At 40.6% G+C, this 19309-nt stretch overlaps 2 annotated features.

Moving 5' to 3' along the window:
- Positions 217 to 717: an enhancer, noted in NCBI's record as "H3K4me1 hESC enhancer chr16:59026374-59026874 (GRCh37/hg19 assembly coordinates)". NCBI's record gives its function as "activates a minimal SCP1, AML or CMV promoter by ChIP-STARR-seq in primed H9 embryonic stem cells {active_cell/tissue: H9 hESC(primed)}" and the evidence as "EXISTENCE:reporter gene assay evidence [ECO:0000049][PMID:30033119]".
- Positions 718 to 1218: an enhancer, noted in NCBI's record as "H3K4me1 hESC enhancer chr16:59026875-59027375 (GRCh37/hg19 assembly coordinates)". NCBI's record gives its function as "activates a minimal SCP1, AML or CMV promoter by ChIP-STARR-seq in primed H9 embryonic stem cells {active_cell/tissue: H9 hESC(primed)}" and the evidence as "EXISTENCE:reporter gene assay evidence [ECO:0000049][PMID:30033119]".

Consider the following 19309-nt stretch of genomic DNA (forward strand, 5'->3'; position numbering starts at 1 on the left):
CTTTATTCCATTGCTGGCAAGGAGCTGTGTTCCTTTGGAGGAGAAGAGATGCTCTGATTTTTAGAATTTTCAGCTTTTCTGCTCTGGTTTCTCCCCATCTTTGTGGTGTTATCTACCTTTGGTCTTTGATGATGGTGACCTACAGATGGGGTTTTGGTGTGGATGTCCTTTTTGTTGATGCTGATGCTATTCCTTTCTGTTTGTTAGTTTTCCTTCTAACAGTCAGGACCCTCAGCTGCAGGTCTGTTGGAGTTTGCTGGAGGTCCACTCCAGATGCTCTTTGCCTGGGTATCACCAGCGGAGGCTGCAGAACAGCAAATATTGCAGAATAGCAAATGTTGCTGCCTGATCCTTCCTCTGGAAGCTTCATCTCAGAGGGGCACCCAGCTGTATGAGGTGTCAGTCGGCCCCTACTGGGAGGTGTCTCCCAGTTAGGCTACTCGAGGGTCAGGGACCCACTTGAGGAGGCAGTCTGTCCGTTCTCAGATCTCAAACTCCGTGCTGGGAGAACCACTACTCTCTTCAAAACTGTCAGACAGGGACGTTTAAGGCTGCAGAAGTTTCTGCTGCCTTTTGTTCAGCTATGCCCTGCCCCCAGAGGTGGAGTCTACAGAGGCAGGCAGGCCTCACTGAGCTGCGGTGGGCTCCACCCAGTTCGAGCTTCCCAGCTGCTTTGTTTACCTAGTCAAGCCTCAGCAATGGCAGACGCCCCTCCCCCAGCCTCGCTGCCACCTTGCAGTTTGATCTCAGACTGCTGTGCTAGCAGTGAGCAAGGCTCCGTGGGCATGGGACCCTCTGAGCCAGGCGTGGGATATCATCTCCTGGTGTGCCGTTTGCTAAGACTGTTGGAAAAGTGCAGTATTAGGGTGGAAGTGTCCTGATTTTCCAGGTACCATCTCTCACGGCTTCCCTTAGCTCAGAAAGGGAATTCCCCGACCCCTTGCACTTCCCAGGTGAGATGATGCCCCGCCCTGCTTTGGCTCACACTCCGTGGGCTGTCCAGCAAGTCCCAGTGAGATGAACCTGGTACCTCAGTTGGAAATGCAGAAATCACCTGTCTTCTGCGTTGCTCACGTTGGGAACTGTAGACTGGAGCTGTTCTTTTTATTTTTTTATTTTTTAATTTTTTTAATTTTTTATTTTTATTTCATTATTATTGTACTTTAAGTTTTAGGGTACATGTGCACAATGTGCAGGTTTGTTACATATGTATACATGTGCCATGTTGGTGTGCTGCACCCATTAACTCGTCATTTAGCATTAGATATATCTCCTAATGCTATCCCTCCTCCCTCCCCCGACCCCACAACAGTCCCCGGAGTGTGATGTTCCCCTTCCTGTGTCCATGGGTTTTCATTGTTCAATTCCCACCTATGAGTGAGAACATGCGATGTTAGGTTTTTTGTCCTTGCGATAGTCTGCTGAAAATGATCATTTCCAGTTTCATCCATGTCCCTACAAAGGACATGAACTCATCATTTTTTATGGCTGCATAGTATTCCATGGTGTATATGTGCCACATTTTATTTATTTATTTATTTATTTTTTATTTTTTTTAAATTTTTTTTTTTTATTATACTCTAAGTTTTAGGGTACATGTGCACATTGTGCAGGTTAGTTACATATGTATACATGTGCCATGCTGGTGCGCTGCACCCACTAACGTGTCATCTAGCATTAGGTATATCTCCCAATGCTATCCCTCCCCCCTCCCCCGACCCCACCACAGTCCCCAGAGTGTGATATTCCCCTTCCTGTGTCCAAGTGATCTCATTGTTCAATTCCCACCTATGAGTGAGAATATGCGGTGTTTGGTTTTTTGTTCTTGCGATAGTTTACTGAGAATGATGGTTTCCAATTTCATCCATGTCCCTACAAAGGACATGAACTCATCATTTTTTATGGCTGCATAGTATTCCATGGTGTATATGTGCCACATTTTCTTAATCCAGTCTATCATTGTTGGACATTTGGGTTGGTTCCAAGTCTTTGCTATTGTGAATAGTGCCGCAATAAACATACGTGTGCATGTGTCTTTATAGCAGCATGATTTATAATCCTTTGGGTGTATACCCAGTAGTTGGATGGCTAGGCCAAATGCTGTTCTTATTTGGCCATCTTGGAGGGAACGGGAGAAAGACTTCAATACAAGACCTGGATCTGTAAAGCTACTGGAAGAAAATATAAAAGGAAAAGCTCCATGACATGGGTCTGGGCAATGATTTTTTTGGATATGACTCTGAAATCACAGACTGCAAAAACAAAAATAGATGAATGGGACCATGTTAAACTATAAAAGCTTCTGCACAGCAAAGGAAACAATCAGCAAAGTGAAGAGACAATTCAGAGAATGGAAGAAAATATTTGCAAACCATACATCTGATAAGGGGTTAATATCTAAAATATATAAGAAACAGAACTTAATAGCAAGAAAACAGAAAGAACTGAAGAGACGTTTCTCAAAAGAGGACATACAAATGGCCAATAGGTGCATGAAAAAATGCTCAGCATCACTAATCATCAGAAAAATGCAAACTAAAACCACAATCAGATATCACCTCACACATCTTATGAAAAAGATGAAAGGCAACAACTGTTGGAGAGAATATGGAAAAAAGGGAACACTTACACACTGTTGGTGGGAATGTAAATTAGTATAGCCATTATGGAATATAGTATAGAAGTTCCTCAAATATCTAAAAATAAAACTATAATATGACTTAGTAATTCCGCTTCTGGGTATTTATGCAAAGGAACTGAAATCAGCATGTTGAAGGGATAGGTGCCCTGCAATGTTCATTGCCACATTATTCCCAAAGCCAAGATATGGAATCAACCTAAGTGTTAATCAACAAATGAATGGGTAAAGAAAATGTGGTATATATACACAATGGAATACAATTCAGTCTTAAAAAAGAATTAAGTTCTGTTATTTGTGACAACGTGGATGAATCTAGAGTATATTATCCTAAGTGAAGTAAGCCAGGCCCATATAATCAAAAAGTCAAAAAATAATAGATGTTGTCATGGATGCAGTGAAAAGGGAATGCTTTCACACTGTTGGTGGGAATGTAAACTAGTACACTATGGAAGACAGTGTAGAGATTCCTTAAAGAACTAAAAGTAGATCTACCATTTGATCCAGAAATCCCACTCCTGGGTATCTATCTAGAGGAAAAGAGGTCATTATATGAAAAAGATACTTGCACACACATGTTTATAACAGCACAATTTGCAATTGCAAAAATATGGAACTAGCCCAAATGCCCATCAATCAACGAGTGGATAAAGAAAATGTGGTATAGATATCATGGAATACTACTCAGTCATAAAAAGGAAAGCAATAATGGCATTTGCAGCCGCCTGGATGGAATTGGAGACCATTATTCTAAATGAAGAGACTCAGGAATGAAAAACCAAACATCGTATGTTCTCACTCATAAGTGGGAGCTAAGCTATGAGGACACAAAGTCATAAGGATGCTGCAATGAACTTTGAGGACTGGGGAGAAAGGGTGGGAGGTGGGTTGCGTACAGTGTATACTGCTCTGTTGATGGGTGCACCAAAATCTCAGAAATCACCTACTAAAGAACTTATTCATGTACAAAAAAATAAAAATAAAAAAAGAAATAAGCCAGGAACAGAAAGACAAATGCCACATGATCTCACTTATATCTGGAATCTAAGAAAGTTGAGCTAGTCCAAGTAGAGAGTAGAATAATGGTTACCAGTGGCTGCGGGGGGTGAGGGATGATGAAGGGAGGACTGGGGAGTTGTTGAAGGATACAAAGGGTAAAAAGTTTCAGATAGACAGGAAAAATAGGTTCTAAGATCTATTGCACAACAACAGGGTGCCACAGTTAATAATAATGTGTATTTCAAAATGACTAAGAGAATAAATTTCAAATGTCTCACCATAAAACAGGATAGGTAGGTGAGGTGCTGAATATATTAGTTAGCTTGATTTTGTTCTTCCACGTTGAATACATATATCAAAACATCCCATTGTAGCCCATAAACGTGTACAATTATAGTTTGTCAATCAAAAACAATAATAATCAATAAAAATAAAGTCTTTTAATTAAAAAAATCATATGATTATGATGCAGAGCAAGTTTGAGACCTGCTGCATTATTTTGTAGATGTGAAAGAGAGAAACAGAGGAAGAGAGAAAAGATAGAATGCATGGTGAGTTAGTGGCAGAGGCAGCAACAGAACTCAAGCCTCTTGACTCCTTTTCCAGTGCTCTTTCCCCCGTTTTCCACCTTACGTTGATGGACGCTTGCAACATCCCCCCGTTTCCCCTTGTTCTGGGTAAGCAAAGAATATATCTCAGCTTTATATTTGTTTGATTTCCCTGGGAGCTAGGGAAGGAGTAAAGCTGGTCCCTACCACATATTTCTTCATTTCTAAATTTCATAGTAGGTTAAACATTGCATATATATTTCTGCTCAGCTCTGTAGATATAAAAAGTGAATAAAAACAAACTAATTAAAAAGGAAATAAAATATGTACACACAAAATAAGACAGAACAGAAAGTAAAACAATACAGAAAAAGGGTCATGGGAATATAGCACCATTAATTGCTTCCGAAGCCAGATTAGTGGGAAAAAAAAATCCTGGAGTTGTGGGGGGTATTCAGGTGACCTGGCAAAATTAGAAAGTTTTGCTTCAACTTTCTGAAGGGCAGTTGGCATATTATTTTACCTCCCCATATCTCAATTTCAGCAGCATTTGCAATGTGCTGTGTCCTTTTTACACTCCATGAAGTTGGTAGGAAGATGAAGGTGATACCTCTTTTTAAAGAGGGGCTCAGTAGTTCTTGTACACAGACTGTATTTCCACTACCATGAAGTTGCCTTTAGACATTATTTCACTGAATTATTGCAGTGTTCTTCCACTGTAACTGTTCACTTACCTTATATAGGAAGATCCTGATGGTCAAGGAAAATAAAGCACATTGCATAAGGTTGCAGCTATAGTAGGTAGCAAGCTCAGGCTTCAACTCAGATCTTTCTGACTCCAAAGCCCATGATGTTTTCTTTGAACTAGACTGCAAAAGAGTTTGTAACCGCAGAGGTCTTACCACTGCTCTTTGCCCATGGGCTCTAGGAGATAAATCTTCCAGAAGAGGAAAGCCAGGCTGTTCTTAGCACATCTGAAAGGGCTGTCCTGTGGGTCTATAGGAAGTTCTATATATTTCTTGAAATTTATAACAAGAACAAGGAGTGTTCCTGGAGTCCATTTGGTAATTTATTTTAGGATGTCTGGCACTGGGAGCTCACGAGATGCGTATAAAGCAGGAAGTTAGGCCTTGGACTGAATAAACAGCTGAAGATAGAAGTGGTGGATCAGCTTCAGTCAGGGCAGAGGGGACTTGGTATCAACCCAGCCAATGTAGTTCCTTTCATTTCTGTTCATTTGGATCATTATTAAATGTATTGCCTTTTCTTTTGTTTTTTTTTTTTTTTCTTTTGGTTTAGAAGAGCGATATTTATCTCATGATGGGGTTTTAAAGCAGAGTGTCAGGTCTTGGGTCTCTAAATGCCACTCCACTGTGAACACCACAAAATACATTACCTTTTCATGTATGAGTGATAAAAGCAACACATACCAGACATCCAGACTTGAGAATGCTGGGCTAGGGAGCTACTTGTTTTCCAGTGCAATTCTTTATTTCACTTTGTAGTTATGGTAGGCCAGAACGACACTGACTCCAGAGAAGAAGTGGCCAGGTAAAGGGGACCTGGCAGCTCATTGCAGAGAAATATTAATTAATATTAATACTGCAACATGAAAGTGCAATTCATAAATTAGCATTGTTAGAAATGAAGGTTGGAGTCAGAATGGCCAGTGTGTAAATTCCAGCTCTTTCATCCACTAGTTTCATCACTTTAGGGAGTTTCAGTTTCCCCAACGGTTCAATTGGAACATACTGAGGATTCACTGGGATAAGGCATGCAAAGTACTCAAATGCTAGACAGTGTGACAGTGCTCAGAAAATGTTAGTTCTCTTTCTTATTTCTATTGTTCAGGGCTGATTTATATGGTAAAGGCTAATGAGGAGGAGGAGGAGATTGTTGCTTCTACCTTTATATTTCATTTTAGAACTTTTTTTTTTTTTTTTGAGACGGAATCTCACTCTGTCGCCCAGGCTGGAGTGCAGTGGCATGATCTCGGCTCACTGCAAGCTCCGCCTCCCAGGTTCACGCCATTCTCCTGCCTCATCCTCCCGAGTAGCTGGGACTACAGGTGCCCGCCACCACGCCCAGCTAATTTTTTGTATTTTTAGTAGAGACGGGGTTACACGGTGTTAGCCAGGATGGTCTGGATCTCCTGACCTCGTGATCCGCCCACCTCGGCCTCCCAAAGTGCTGGGATTACAGGCATGAGCCACTGCGCCCAGCCTAGAATTTTAATTAGCAGGGAGATGTATGGGCTATACAGCTGAGGAGGGGATAGATGAAATTTGTAGCCGGGTAGCATGATAAGTAGAGAGTTAAGGAGATGAGAGGGTAGAGTGAAGTGTGAGGGAGAGGACAAAGTGCAGAATATCTACTGGGGCCATCTTTTATGGGCTCTCGTATAATTTTCTTTGATGGGAATAGAAAAGCCACACTCAGAAAGATGAGAAAAAAAAAAAGGACCTGCCTTTATCCACCCTACCTGTATTGAGTAGTTTCAGCTATTTAACCGTCATTCCTCTCTCTCCATTTTACTTATCTATCTATCTATCTATCTATCTATCTATCTATCTATCTATCTATCTATTTATAGACAGAGTCTCTCCTTGTTGCCCAGGCTGCAGTGCAGTAGTGTGATCTTGGCTCACTGCAACCTCTGCCTCCCAGGTTCAAGTGTTTCTCCTGCCTTAGCCTCCTGAGTAGCTGGGATTACAGGCGTCTGCCACCATGCCTGGCATTTTGTTTTTTTTTTTGTATTTTTAGTAGAGATGGGGTTTCACCATATTGGCCAGGCTGGTCTTGAACTGCTTATCTCAGGTGATCCACCCACTTCGGCCTCCCAAAGTGCTGGGATTACAAGCATGAGCCACCGTGCCCGGCCTCATTTATTCTTACGTTTACCTGACTCCAGAGTTTTGGTTTCTTTTCTATTCTCATCCTATGCCTTTCCCTTGAGTGAAGCCACTGCTTGACTTTTCTCTGGTTTGCCATTGTTCTCTCTCCTGGATGTGGTTCAGTCCTATCTTCTCCAGCTGCCTTGTGTAACCCCCCAAATGAAGCAGCCCTGGTTTCTGAAACCAACCAAGCCTTGACTGGCTTGACTGGGATCTGTTGATGAAATTAAGTCAGCACCTTATAGAGGTGAAACTAAAAAACTTCGTTTTTTTCAGCCAAGGAATTTTGAAATGGTCATGGAGCTTTACAGTCAAAACAAATTTTAAGGACCTCAGCTTGTTTCCAGCAGTAATACGTTTGAAAAGGCTTATTAAATTACAAATTTGTTTTCGCCTCTTTATCCAAGTATCAATGCAGAAGAGAAACAACCTAATGTAGAGAAAATAAAATGAAATAATTACAAAGTTGCCGAATGTGAAACGACTAAGATAAAACCAAGCAGGCCTGTTGGAGATAATGGTTATCTGTTTGCAATAAACATGAAGTGAGAACAATTCATGACTTGCGATAACATTCAACTGAAAGGAAGTAAATTAGATGTAGACAAGGCCAGGAGAGCATTACAAAAACATCCGGAGCCAGACAGTACAAAGGGAGAGCAGGGGCTGGATTTTATCTTTATCAGGTAATTGAAATAATGCTTTATATTAACAGGATGAGTTCAAAGTGGAAACTGGAGTCAGGAGGTATGGAGAGCGACAGATAAAATGCAAAGAGCACTGGAAACTCTGTGGGCTGGGAAATGAAATAATCACTGAAGGCCTAATATGTGTCACGTACTTTTACATATACAACCTCATTTAAGCCTACGGCAAACTTGCAAACTGTGATTAGCAGTCAAATTCTTGATGGGGAATGTGAGGGTCAGATACGTAACTCATCTAAGTCTTTATAGCAAGCAGGTGGTGGATTTGGGATAAAAGCTCAGGTTGGCCTGACTTCAAAATCATGTTCTAAATATGCTACACTATCTCACAACTGCCGAGTTATATTGTACTCTTGAATCACTTTATAAAAGTGATTACACAGGCTCCGACAGTTTTAACACTTTCACTAATCAGCTGCCAGAGCATGGATGGGGCAATTACAGAAGTAGCCACTCTAGGTGTTTCTCTCTCTCTCTCTCTCTCTCTCACACACACACACACACACACACACACACACACAATTTAAACTCCGCATCAAGCTGCTAACTTCATATATTTATTTGGGTGTCCCACAAACAGGTCAGATTGAACTTACCTAAAAATCACTGCCTTAAGTGTCATATTTTATGTCTTCTATCCATTTTCTCATCAGAAATTTGAGGTTTCCCTTGATCCCTTTCTCTTTATCAACCCCATGCTCAATGACTCTTCAAGTCTTGTCAATGCTACCTCCAAAATGTCTCCACTTTCCTTCTTCTCTCTATTCATTGTCTGAACTTTGGTTCAGACTAACGTCTTCTGCCAAGAATACTATAGCAGCCTCTTACTAGCCTTCTTGTCTTCTGTTTCCTTCTCCCCAAATCTACTTTCCCTATTGTAGGCCCAGAGATATTTACAAAATACAAATGTATATCACCCTTCCATGCCTCTCCTTTTCTTGAGCATAAAGTTCAATGTCGTTAACATAAGTCTTTTTTTTTTTTTTTTTAAGACAGAGTCTCGCTCTGTCACCCAGGCTGGAGTCCAGTGGTGCGATCTCGGCTCACTGCAAGCTCTGCCTCCCAGGTTCATGCCATTCTTCTGCCTCAGCCTCCTGAGTAGCTGGGACTACAGGTGCCCGCCACCACGCCTGGCTAATTTTTTGTATTTTTAGTAGAGACATAATAAGTCTTTAAAAAAACTATCTTTGCATGGGATTTTACCTCTTTCCTACCTCTACTTTATGAGCAAGTGAAAAAAAATTGCATTATTTATAGTGTCATTGTGTTTTCATAGTCATCCTACTGTTTGAACATGCTGTTCCTTCTTTGTGAAATACCTTTCTGCCTTTCTTTTTCTTTTTATTTCTTTCCAGACTAGTTAGCTCTTACTTGTCCTTTAGAAGCAGTGTAGATATCTCTTCCTTTACAAATACTTTTTTTTTGTATTTCTGCTCTGAATTTTTCTTTTTTTTATTATTATTATACTTTAAGTTTTAGGGTACATGTGCACAACGTGCAGGTTTGTTACATATTTATACATGTGCCATGTTGGTGTGCTACACCCATTAACTTGTCATTTGGCATTAGGTATATCTCCTAATGCTATCCCTCCCCCCTCCCTCCATCCCACAACGGTCCCCGGTGTGTGATGTTCCCCTTCCTGTGTCCATGTGTTCTCATTGTTCAATTCCCACCTGTGGGTGAGAGCGTGTGGTGTTTGGTTTTTTTGTCCTTGCGATAGTTTGCTGAGAATGATAGTTTCCAGCTTCATCCGTGTCCCTACAAAGGACATGAACTCATCATTTTTTATGGCTGCATAGTATTCCGTGGTGTATATGTGCCACATTTTCTTAATCCAGTCTATCATTGTTGGACATCTGGGTTGGTTCCAAGTCTTTGCTATTGTGAATAGTGCCGCAATAAACATACCTGTGCATGTGTCTTTATAGCAGCATGATTTATAATCCTTTGGGTATATACCCAGTAATGGGATGGCTGGGTCAAATGGTATTTCTAGTTCTAGATCCCTGAGGAATCGCCACACCGACTTCCACAATGGTTGAACTAGTTTCCAGTCCCACCAACAGTGTAAAAGTGTTCCTGTTTCTCCACATCCTCTCCAGCACCTATTGTTTCCTGACTTTTTAATGATTGCCATTCTAACGGGGGTGAGATGGTATCTCATTGTGGTTTTGATTTGCATTTCTCTGATGGCCAGTGATGATGAGCATTTTTTCATGTGATTTTTGGCTGCATAAATGTCTTCTTTTGAGAAGTGTCTGTTCATATCCTTCACCACTTTTTGATGGGGTTGTTTTTTTCTTGTAAATTTGTTTGAGTTCATTGTAGATTCTGGATATTAGCCCTTTGTTAGATGAGTGGTTGGAAAAATTTTCTCCCATTCTGTAGGTTTCCTGTTCACTCTGATGGTAGTTTCTTTTGCTGTGCAGAAGCTCTTCAGTTGAATTAGATCCCATTTGTCAATTTTGGCTTTTGTTGCCATTGATTTTGGTGTTTTAGACATGAAGTCGTTGCCCATGCCTATGTCCTGAATGGTATTGCCTAGGTTTTCTTCTAGCGTTTTTATGGTTTTAGGTCTAACATTTAAGTCTTTAATCCATCTTGAATTAATTTTTGTATAAGATGTAAGGAAGGGATCCAGTTTCAGCTTTATGTTTTTAACTCTCCAAAGATTCAGCTAGGAATACCTCATATGGCCTTCATAATGTTTACCCATCATAGCTGTTATTACTTTGCATTCTAATAGATACATTTCTGTTTTCCCAAATTGTAATCTTCTTGTGAACAAAGACCATGTCTTACTAATCAGTGATGATTCTGGTGCCTGAAACATAATAGATGCCTAATAAACATTTTTGGTTGGGTGTTGTCACAGATGGAGAATGATGTGCAAGGCAGTTATCAGGGAGCCCTCCTGAAGTGGGGATTGTGCAGAAGAAGAAGTTGAGCCTTGGAACAGCCTTGTGAAAGCTTCAGCTGACCTATGGGGATCTCTGAAGCTTAGCTAATCCTTCAAAGTGATCTCACATGGGGCAAAGAGACCAGACATTTATCACTTGTGTTGATTAGTAATTGGCCTTGAATGTGACCTTGAGTGAGGGTGCTCTTTCCCACCAGGGCACTCTCCAAAGGGAGCTAATGGCTGAGGACTGCCTACCATTAGCATGTCCACCAGCTGGGGAATGAATTTTTCATTTCTGAGGGTGTATGTTTTTGAGTATTTATAATCTTTGTTTTAATATAACTTATTTAATTGTGACTTTATATGCTTCAAATTTTAATCACAGTTGTGTTTAACAGTCTGCTCCCCAAATTCCTGAAAATTTAACAATTGGCTCTTGCAAGTTAGTAATGAACCAGCTCCAGCACACAAGGGAACACGTCTGTCAAATTACATTTGTACTCCAACCAGTTCTATTTCATTTATGACCCATAGGTTTCTTAATTTAGCAAGAAAATCACTCTGACAATGATAATGTATTAGATCAAAATCTCTATTTGCAGTACTACTGCAAAAAAAAACCTTCTTCTTTAATACTGAACTTATACATTTACTATAAAATATCATCTTTCACCCCCAAAGAATGATTTGAGTCCATCGTGGGTGTCACTCAGCAAGCACTCACCCCAGTCCACCCACTCCAGGCTTGGCTAAAATAAAGAATGTAGTTGTGGAAGCTACAGTAATATTCCTTCAGGGAGCTCTTGAGGAGTCATGCTTATGTGTTTTCTGGTGAAGAAATAATTGAGGAAATGGTTTCAACTCTTCTAAAATTGGCTATCCTCTTCATACTTTCTGCAACTCCTAGTATAGGGTCTCCTTAACAAGACATTCAGACACACAAGACCTGAATAGGTAACACCTGGTACCAGTTTAATCAGATGGCTATTGGACCAGAAACATAGCACCTCACTCGGGCTGTGTCAGGCAATTCTTTTCAAAGGGAATAATCCTTATAGCAGAACACCTTCTGTTCTCCCTTGCACTGCCCCTGCCTCGTCCCTGCATGGCTGTTGGACCAGAAACATAGCACCTCACTTGGGCTGTGTCAGGCATTTCTTTTCAAAGGGAATAATCCTTATAGCAGAACACCTTCTGTTCTCCCTTGCACTGCCCCTGCCTCGTCCCCGCATGAGAGCTTAGGTGTGAGAAAATAAGACTCAGGTTAGGCCGGGCATGGTGGCTCATGCCTATAGTCCCAGCACTTTGGGAGGCTGAGTTGGGTGGATCACTTGAGCCTAGGAGTTCAAGACCAGCCTGGGCAACATGGTGAAGCCCCATGTCTACAAAAAACACAGAAACTAGCTGGGTGTGGTGGCGCATGCCTGTACTCCCAGCTACTCTGGAGGCTGAGGTGGGAGGATCACTTGAGCCTAGGAGGTCAAAGCTGCAGTGAACCAAGATCATGTCACTGCACTCCAGCCTAGGCAATAGAGTGAGACCCTACCTCAATAAAAAAAGACTCATATTAGACAGGTGCAGTAGTTGCCCTGGCATAGAAATATTATGCCACATAGAGACCAATATCTCTTGTAATAGGCCTAGGTATAGCTTCTAGATCCCCACAGGGATATGACCTGTTATGAGCCTCCATATTCAGGGAATCCTAGAGCCATGGCTTCCCACCAGGCATTTATGCTTCATTCACACTTTTCCAGGTCAGGTGCAATTTCTCCACCATGGGCCTTTCTATCCATAAATAATGTTGCCTAGCAATACAGGTGAGATCCTACCTTTATCAAGTTTTCAGGGTAAAGAGCAAGAAAGTTAACCTAAGCTCAGATTTGTCTTTAGAGAAGGAGAAAGGGTTTGTTCACCCTTCCCAAGCCCCATCTGAACTTCATAGTATCACAGAGTACAGTCAGAATACCAATTGATATGAATGTCAGGGTAGATAAGCCTCTAGTAAGTTGTTTTCTGCCTGGTTCACCTCTTCTTTTCATGGTTCTGAATATGAAGGAAATTCATTAATCTTTCTCACCCTGGCGACTAGTATAGTGCCTTTAACTCAGTAGAAAAATTCATTCAGTTAACAAAAAAATTAAATTGAGAAAAATCAGAAGAAACACTCCTGTATTTCCACTACTAGACATAACAATGGTGAATATTTCAGTAAATATCTTTCTAGTCTTTGTTATATGCACTGCTATATGTTATATGCGCTTTGTTATACTGCACTGCAAATTTCTTGCCTTTTTTATAGAGGGACTTTTTTAAGAATAAGAAGATTAGGCTGGGCGTGGTGGGTCATGCCTGTAATCTCAGCACTCTGGGAGGCCCAGGCGGGGCGGATCACGAGGTCAGGAGTTTGAGCCCAGCCTGGCCAATATGGTGAAACCCTCACTCAACTAAAAATACAAAAATTACCCGGGTGTGGTGACACGCACCTGTAATCCAGCTACTTGGGAGGCTGAGGCAGGAGGATTGCTTGAACCCGGGAGGCAGAGGTTGCAGTGAGCTGAGATCCCGTCATGGCACTCCAGCTCTGGGTGACAGAACAGACTCCGGCTTGGGGAAAAAAAAAATAAGATTATTACATTACTAGGAGGTTGATTCTGCCTCAACCTAACCTTAACATACCATCTCTAAATGTAACCCATTTCTAAACACAATCATGTTTGGAGATGCTTGGATGATGGGCATAACATTTATTGAAGGTACACCACTGCTGGACTATGTAGTAATAGGTACATGAGGAGGGAAAGAAAAAAAGTTTTATTCTGCCTTCAAAGCAACTAAATGTCCTCCATGGGGAAAGAAATTTCCAATTCATATTTTATTTCCCATAACGTGACTGTCTAATGTTGTCTTAAGCTTGTTCTGTTTAGTTGGGATTATGCTTTGAAAGGACCAGGAGAAAGAAAGACCCATTTAACAAGTTTCTGCCAATAAGCCAGTTTCTGAAAAATAAATGGTTAAATAATCCCAGAAGATTATCCGGTCTTGGTAAAATAATTTTAACACAATATCCAGCTCATCAATTGGGATGGAAGCACATCAGCTGGTGAGGAGTGAACATTAGTGACTTGATTGTCATGAAAACATTTCTTCCAGACCAGGAAAAAGACAGTCATGGGGAAACATGCCATGTGGAAAAATAACCCATTTCTTCGTGATCTATTCTCTCTGTTGGTCACAGGTTGACATTTTACTGGCCCTGGGAGTGGAGAGAAATGCAGGCTTCCTAGTCACACAGAGAAAAGAAATGTTTTCCTCTGTGCAAAGAGAGACCCAAGAGACACGGTTTGAACAAGAAGTGTGCAGATAAAAGTTGGAAAGCCAAGGTCATGAATTTATTTTATTTTTAGTCTTTTTTACTTTTTTAAAAAAATGATTCCTTGCAAGTTGTTAAAAAGGCTCATTCTCTGTCACCCACAGATACAAAGTGGGGAGGGCTATTGTTGATATGAAACCTTGACTAGCATTTGAAGTGCTGATTCAAGACACAGCACAGCATGTCTTGCCCAGAAATGAAGTCTGTGATTTGTTTAACCCCATTAGAAAAAGTCAGAATCAAGAAATGATGGAGAAGACGATCAGTATTATAGGGAATCCTTAAACTGGACAGAAGTGTGAAAATTACTTTTAAAACTTAGTCTAACTTGATTATTATATTGTTTATAAGTGTTTACCATTCTTGCCAATATCTCTCTGTATTTGTCCCAATTAATCTGAATTTACATAATCTTAATAATCAAAATAATTTTAAAAAGATAGTTATATATCCCCACCTATGCATCCTTCTTCTGAATGCATCCTAGCTATTTGTTTATATTTGCAACTCGCTTTTCTAAATTGAGAGGTCTTTAATGCTTTGGATGGTACCTTGTTCATCTTTGTAAACAATACTAGCATGATGCTCAGTTGGCAAGTGTTTGATTTATAGTCACTTTTTAAAAAATTTTTTGAGACAGAGTCTCACTCTGTCACCCAGGCTGGAGTGCAGTAGCGCAGTCTCGGCTCACTGCAAGCTCCGCCTCCTGGGTTCACGCCATTCTCCTGCCTCAGCCTCCTGAGTAGCTGGGACTACAGGCATCCACCACCATGCCCGGCTAATTTTTTTTTTTTTTTTTGTATTTTTAGTATAGACGGGATTTCACCGTGTTGGGCAGGATGGTCTCGATCTCCTGACCTCACGATCCACCCGCCTCGGCCTCCCAAAGTGCTGGGATTACAGGCGTGAGCCACCGCACCCAACCTGTTTATAGTCACTTCTGTGTACAAGACTCTGGTATATGTTGGTAAACAATGCATGTTCAAAGTGTAGCTGGTCAAATGACAGAACGGAGGATGAATGGATGGATGGATTGATAGATGGGTGGATGGATGGATTGATAGATGGGTAGATGGATGGTTGGCCATATCTGGATTTTCTTGGTTTTCTGTGTTTTGGAGAGCTAATTACTTATTTCACAAAAGCAAAATCCATCACACAGTTATTTCCCTGGTAGCAGCTTTGCAAACTGAAGAAAATAATTAAGATGAGACTTCAGTAGGAATTACTTGGTAAATCATCATAGGGTGGGAAAGTCTTACCTCTGTTCCTATTCTTGGTTTTTTCATTTGAAGTCATTGTAAGTTAAATGAAATCGATCGATCTATTCATTCTATAGAAAGACTCTATAATAGTTTAATCAGTATACATTTCTATTTATGTACAAAGACTCTACTCACTACACAAAACTTACTTGTCTTACTGACAGTCAAGTGACAATAATTCAAAGTACCTTTAGTGGCAGAGGTTGCTTTCTCTGACCATTATATTCCCCAGTCTTTTCCACTATTACACTGACCTAGTTTATAATCTCCTCAGAACATAAATCTTTTACTTTGCATCATTTATCTGCCTTTTCACACAACCAAAACCACTTCATCTCAACACATCCTCATCCCTTTGTTTATTCATGACTCCGGCTCTGCCAAACCTCAGTTTTTGTCTGATTCGTTCAGTTCTTTTTCCAAGTTGAAAAACATTTCTTCGATATGTATATCAATACTGTTCTTTGAATAGTTCTTATGTATCTGGAAACTGTGCATCAGAGACAGGATTTCATGTATTTATTTATTTATTTGTTTTTCAGACAGGGTCTCGCTCTGTCAGACAGGGTCTCGCTCTGTCACCCAGGCTGTAATGCAGTGGTGTGACCGTGGCTCACTGCAACCTCTGCCTCCGGGCTCAAACGATCCTCCCACCTCAGCCTCCAGAGTAGCTGGGACTACAGGCATGCGCCACCACACCCAGCTAATTTTTGTATTTTTTGTAGAGATGGGGCTTCGCCATGTTGCCCAGGCTGGTCTTGAACTCCTGGGCTCAAGTGATCCACCCACCTCAGCCTCCCGAAGTGCTGGGATTACAGCCATGAGCCACTGCACTAGGCCTAGAGATAGAGAGTTTTATATGATTTGAGCCTTTCTCTCCTCAAGAGGCTCACAGTCAAATGCAGAGATCGTAATCTGGGGGTAAATGAATCCTTGAAAGCATATGAAAATATTAGATAGTTGAGCACCTATTATTTTCTGGACAAAAGGTCCATATGTTTTTAAAAAAATGTCTAGTGAATAATATAGACTAGAAAACAATCAAATTTTCATATAATAAATGCTATTTTTGAAAGAGGTAAGAATAGGAAGCCAGTGAGGAGTGCCTTGGTAGAATCAGAAAAGGCAAATGCTCGGGACTATGCCAGAATTTTCACCAGAATTCACCTGCAAGCAGGTCCCAGCTGGGGCCTCAGTGCCTCTCAGTAATCCTGTTTCTCCACTGATCCTTGGTCACACTGCTCCTAGGTTTCTGCTCAAACCTTCTCAACGTGTTCTTCTCAAACCATATCTTCCAAACTATTGTTACTTCTCATTCACCTTCTTTAAAATGTTATCACCAGCTTCAGATATTTCGTTGAAAAATTAAAAGGACATGTTTTTCAGAGTCTTGTATGTTCTTAAAAGTAAGTAAACCTGGAACTAATATCATCCGCAAAGTATTTTAGGTAGGAATGTGTAATTCTAAAGGGGGAAAATCCTGCAAAATAAGCAAGTAAACTTCTGGGACAAAAGAGGAAACATTGTGTACAGAAGAATATTTTGTTTAACTTGTATGCTTTCATTTCTACTATGTTGAATTTCTGCTTCATTATCTCTAGGGAGTCTACAACCTGCTGAAAATGAATGTTTTTGAGTGTGGGAGGGTGGGTATGGAATTTTAGAAGCTAACAAATCTGTTACCTTATGTAATCTTCACACTTCTTTAAGAGGGCCTCGATTATGAACCTTGTGCAAAGTCATGCCGCTAACAAATTGTAAACTAAGGTTGGAACCCAGGTCTTGCTTGATGGTGTTGCCTATGTTCTCCCTACATCAAATTCTTTTAAGACATTGGAGAAATTACCATACCTCCCAATTGGAGCCCCAACTCTAAGGCTTATTTTCAGGTTGTTAATGTGGGAATGTGATCCCAGAGGGAAGGAGTGAAGGACCCAGGTAGTGGAACAGGAAATGAGCAGTCGATATAAGAATGTGTAACCATTTGACCAAGGATATGGATGTCTGGTTTGATGGGATCTTCTGAAAATCTTAATGAGTGCCTCAAAACTCAGCACTGTCTGAGGTAGTGGGGAGTAGGGAGGACCATTCACCCATAAGCTCATATCCCCCACTGATCCAGTTCAAAGGTTTCCCCACAGGCCTTTAGTTCATGCGTTCCAGGTTGCTCCCACACAAGGGTCAAGCACTGCATCAGAGATCCTTGGAAAAGGATGAGTGTATTAGTCCATTCTTATGCTGCTAATAAAGACATACCCAAGACTGGGTCATTTATAAAGGAAAGAGGTTTGGTTTAATTGCTCACCATGGCTGGGGAGGCCTCAGGAAACTTACAATCATGGTGGAAGGGGAAGCAAACACGTCCTTCTTAACATGGTGGCAACAAGAAGTGACCAGTGAAGGGTGGGGGGATGCCCCTTATAAAAACATCAGATCTTGTGAGAACTCACTCACTATCATGAGAACATCAGCATGGGGGTAAGAACCACCCCATGATTCAATTACATCCCACTGGGTCCCTCCCATGATGAATGGGGATTATGGGAACTACAATTCAAGATGAGATTTGGGTGGGGGCACAGCCAAACCATGTCAATGAAAAATGTGCTGTCGGGTTGTACCTGCATGAATCTGCTTGCAGTGTTACTGATTGGAAAAAGAGTTGAAGTGGGTATGATCTGAAGCAATGCATAAGAGATGTTCCATACAGAGATAAAATAAATAATAATAATAATAATAATGATAGCAAGCTTCTGTGCATCATAGGATCAGTGAGTGGAATTCAAGGAGTCCTTTTGTGTGGATTAAAGTGGGCCATCTTCATGCATGCGCTAAGTGTCTGGGCACTCTGCTGAGGTATGTTAGACATTGACTCTCTGCAATCCAGTTCTTACTCAGTCTGTGCAGTTGTAGGGCTATATCCTCCAAGGGGCTCTGCAGTTTAGAAAACACTTATACTCTGTGGCCTGAGTGACAGCTGAGTCTTTGAACGTCCATTATGAAATCTTTGTCATTGGAGTCTTAGCTCTTTCCCTGTACACATCCTGCATTTTTCCCTTTTGTGGAAGGCAATGGGTAAATGAAATCTAATAAACTCTAATATGTTGAACCCTAAGTAAAGCTTCTCTGTTTGAAGCAGGTAATTTCTTAGAGAATTGATTGCTGCAGAATAGAAAGTAGAGGATATGGAGACCGTTATCTTTTGGATACCATTGATACATCATAAAAATCCACTGAGAATCAATTGAACAGCTAGAAAATCCTTGCCTTGGGGCTTGAGTTAAGGATTCTGACAACTGGAGCTTTTACAACATATAAAACCAATTCCAAAATGTGAGCTCCATGAAGGCAGTGACATTGTTATGTTCACTTGTGTATTTCTAGAAATTCTAAGAGTCTGTGGCACATGCTAGGTCTCAGTATTTGTTGAATGAATGCATGACTGCTATATTCAAGGTGCTATTCTACTATTGGTAAGTTTGGAAAAGCTACTTGTGATTCATCTATACTTTTAGTTCCTTGGTCACCATCGTTATTTGTGAAATAGATGGCCATGATTAGAAGGCCAGTCAACTAACCTTAAATAAAGCAGTACTAACTGGCTTTGGGAACTCAAATCCATGACCTTAGTCTATTGAAAAGTATCTTCTAATGAGACTTAATCAAATACAGACATCAAAATGAACTGGGAGGGAACTGGATCCATAAAACGCGGAGTTTGGAAAAAACAGACATATGTGGAGAGGACAAATCTGTGAGGTTCTGTGAGGAAAAATTATTTTTTTCTAGCTTTATTGAGACAAATAAAAATCGTATATATTCAAGATGTACAACATGATGATTTGATATATATGCACATTATATAATAGTTATAATGAAATTAATTAACATATCCTATACACATAGTTGTCGTTTATGATATGTGTGTATGTGTGTGGGAGTGAGGACACTTCAGATCTGTTCTCTTAGAAAATTTCAAG

The sequence above is a fragment of the Homo sapiens genome, chromosome 16 (assembly GCF_000001405.40).
Source record: "Homo sapiens chromosome 16, GRCh38.p14 Primary Assembly".
Classification (NCBI taxonomy): Eukaryota; Metazoa; Chordata; class Mammalia; order Primates; family Hominidae; genus Homo; species Homo sapiens.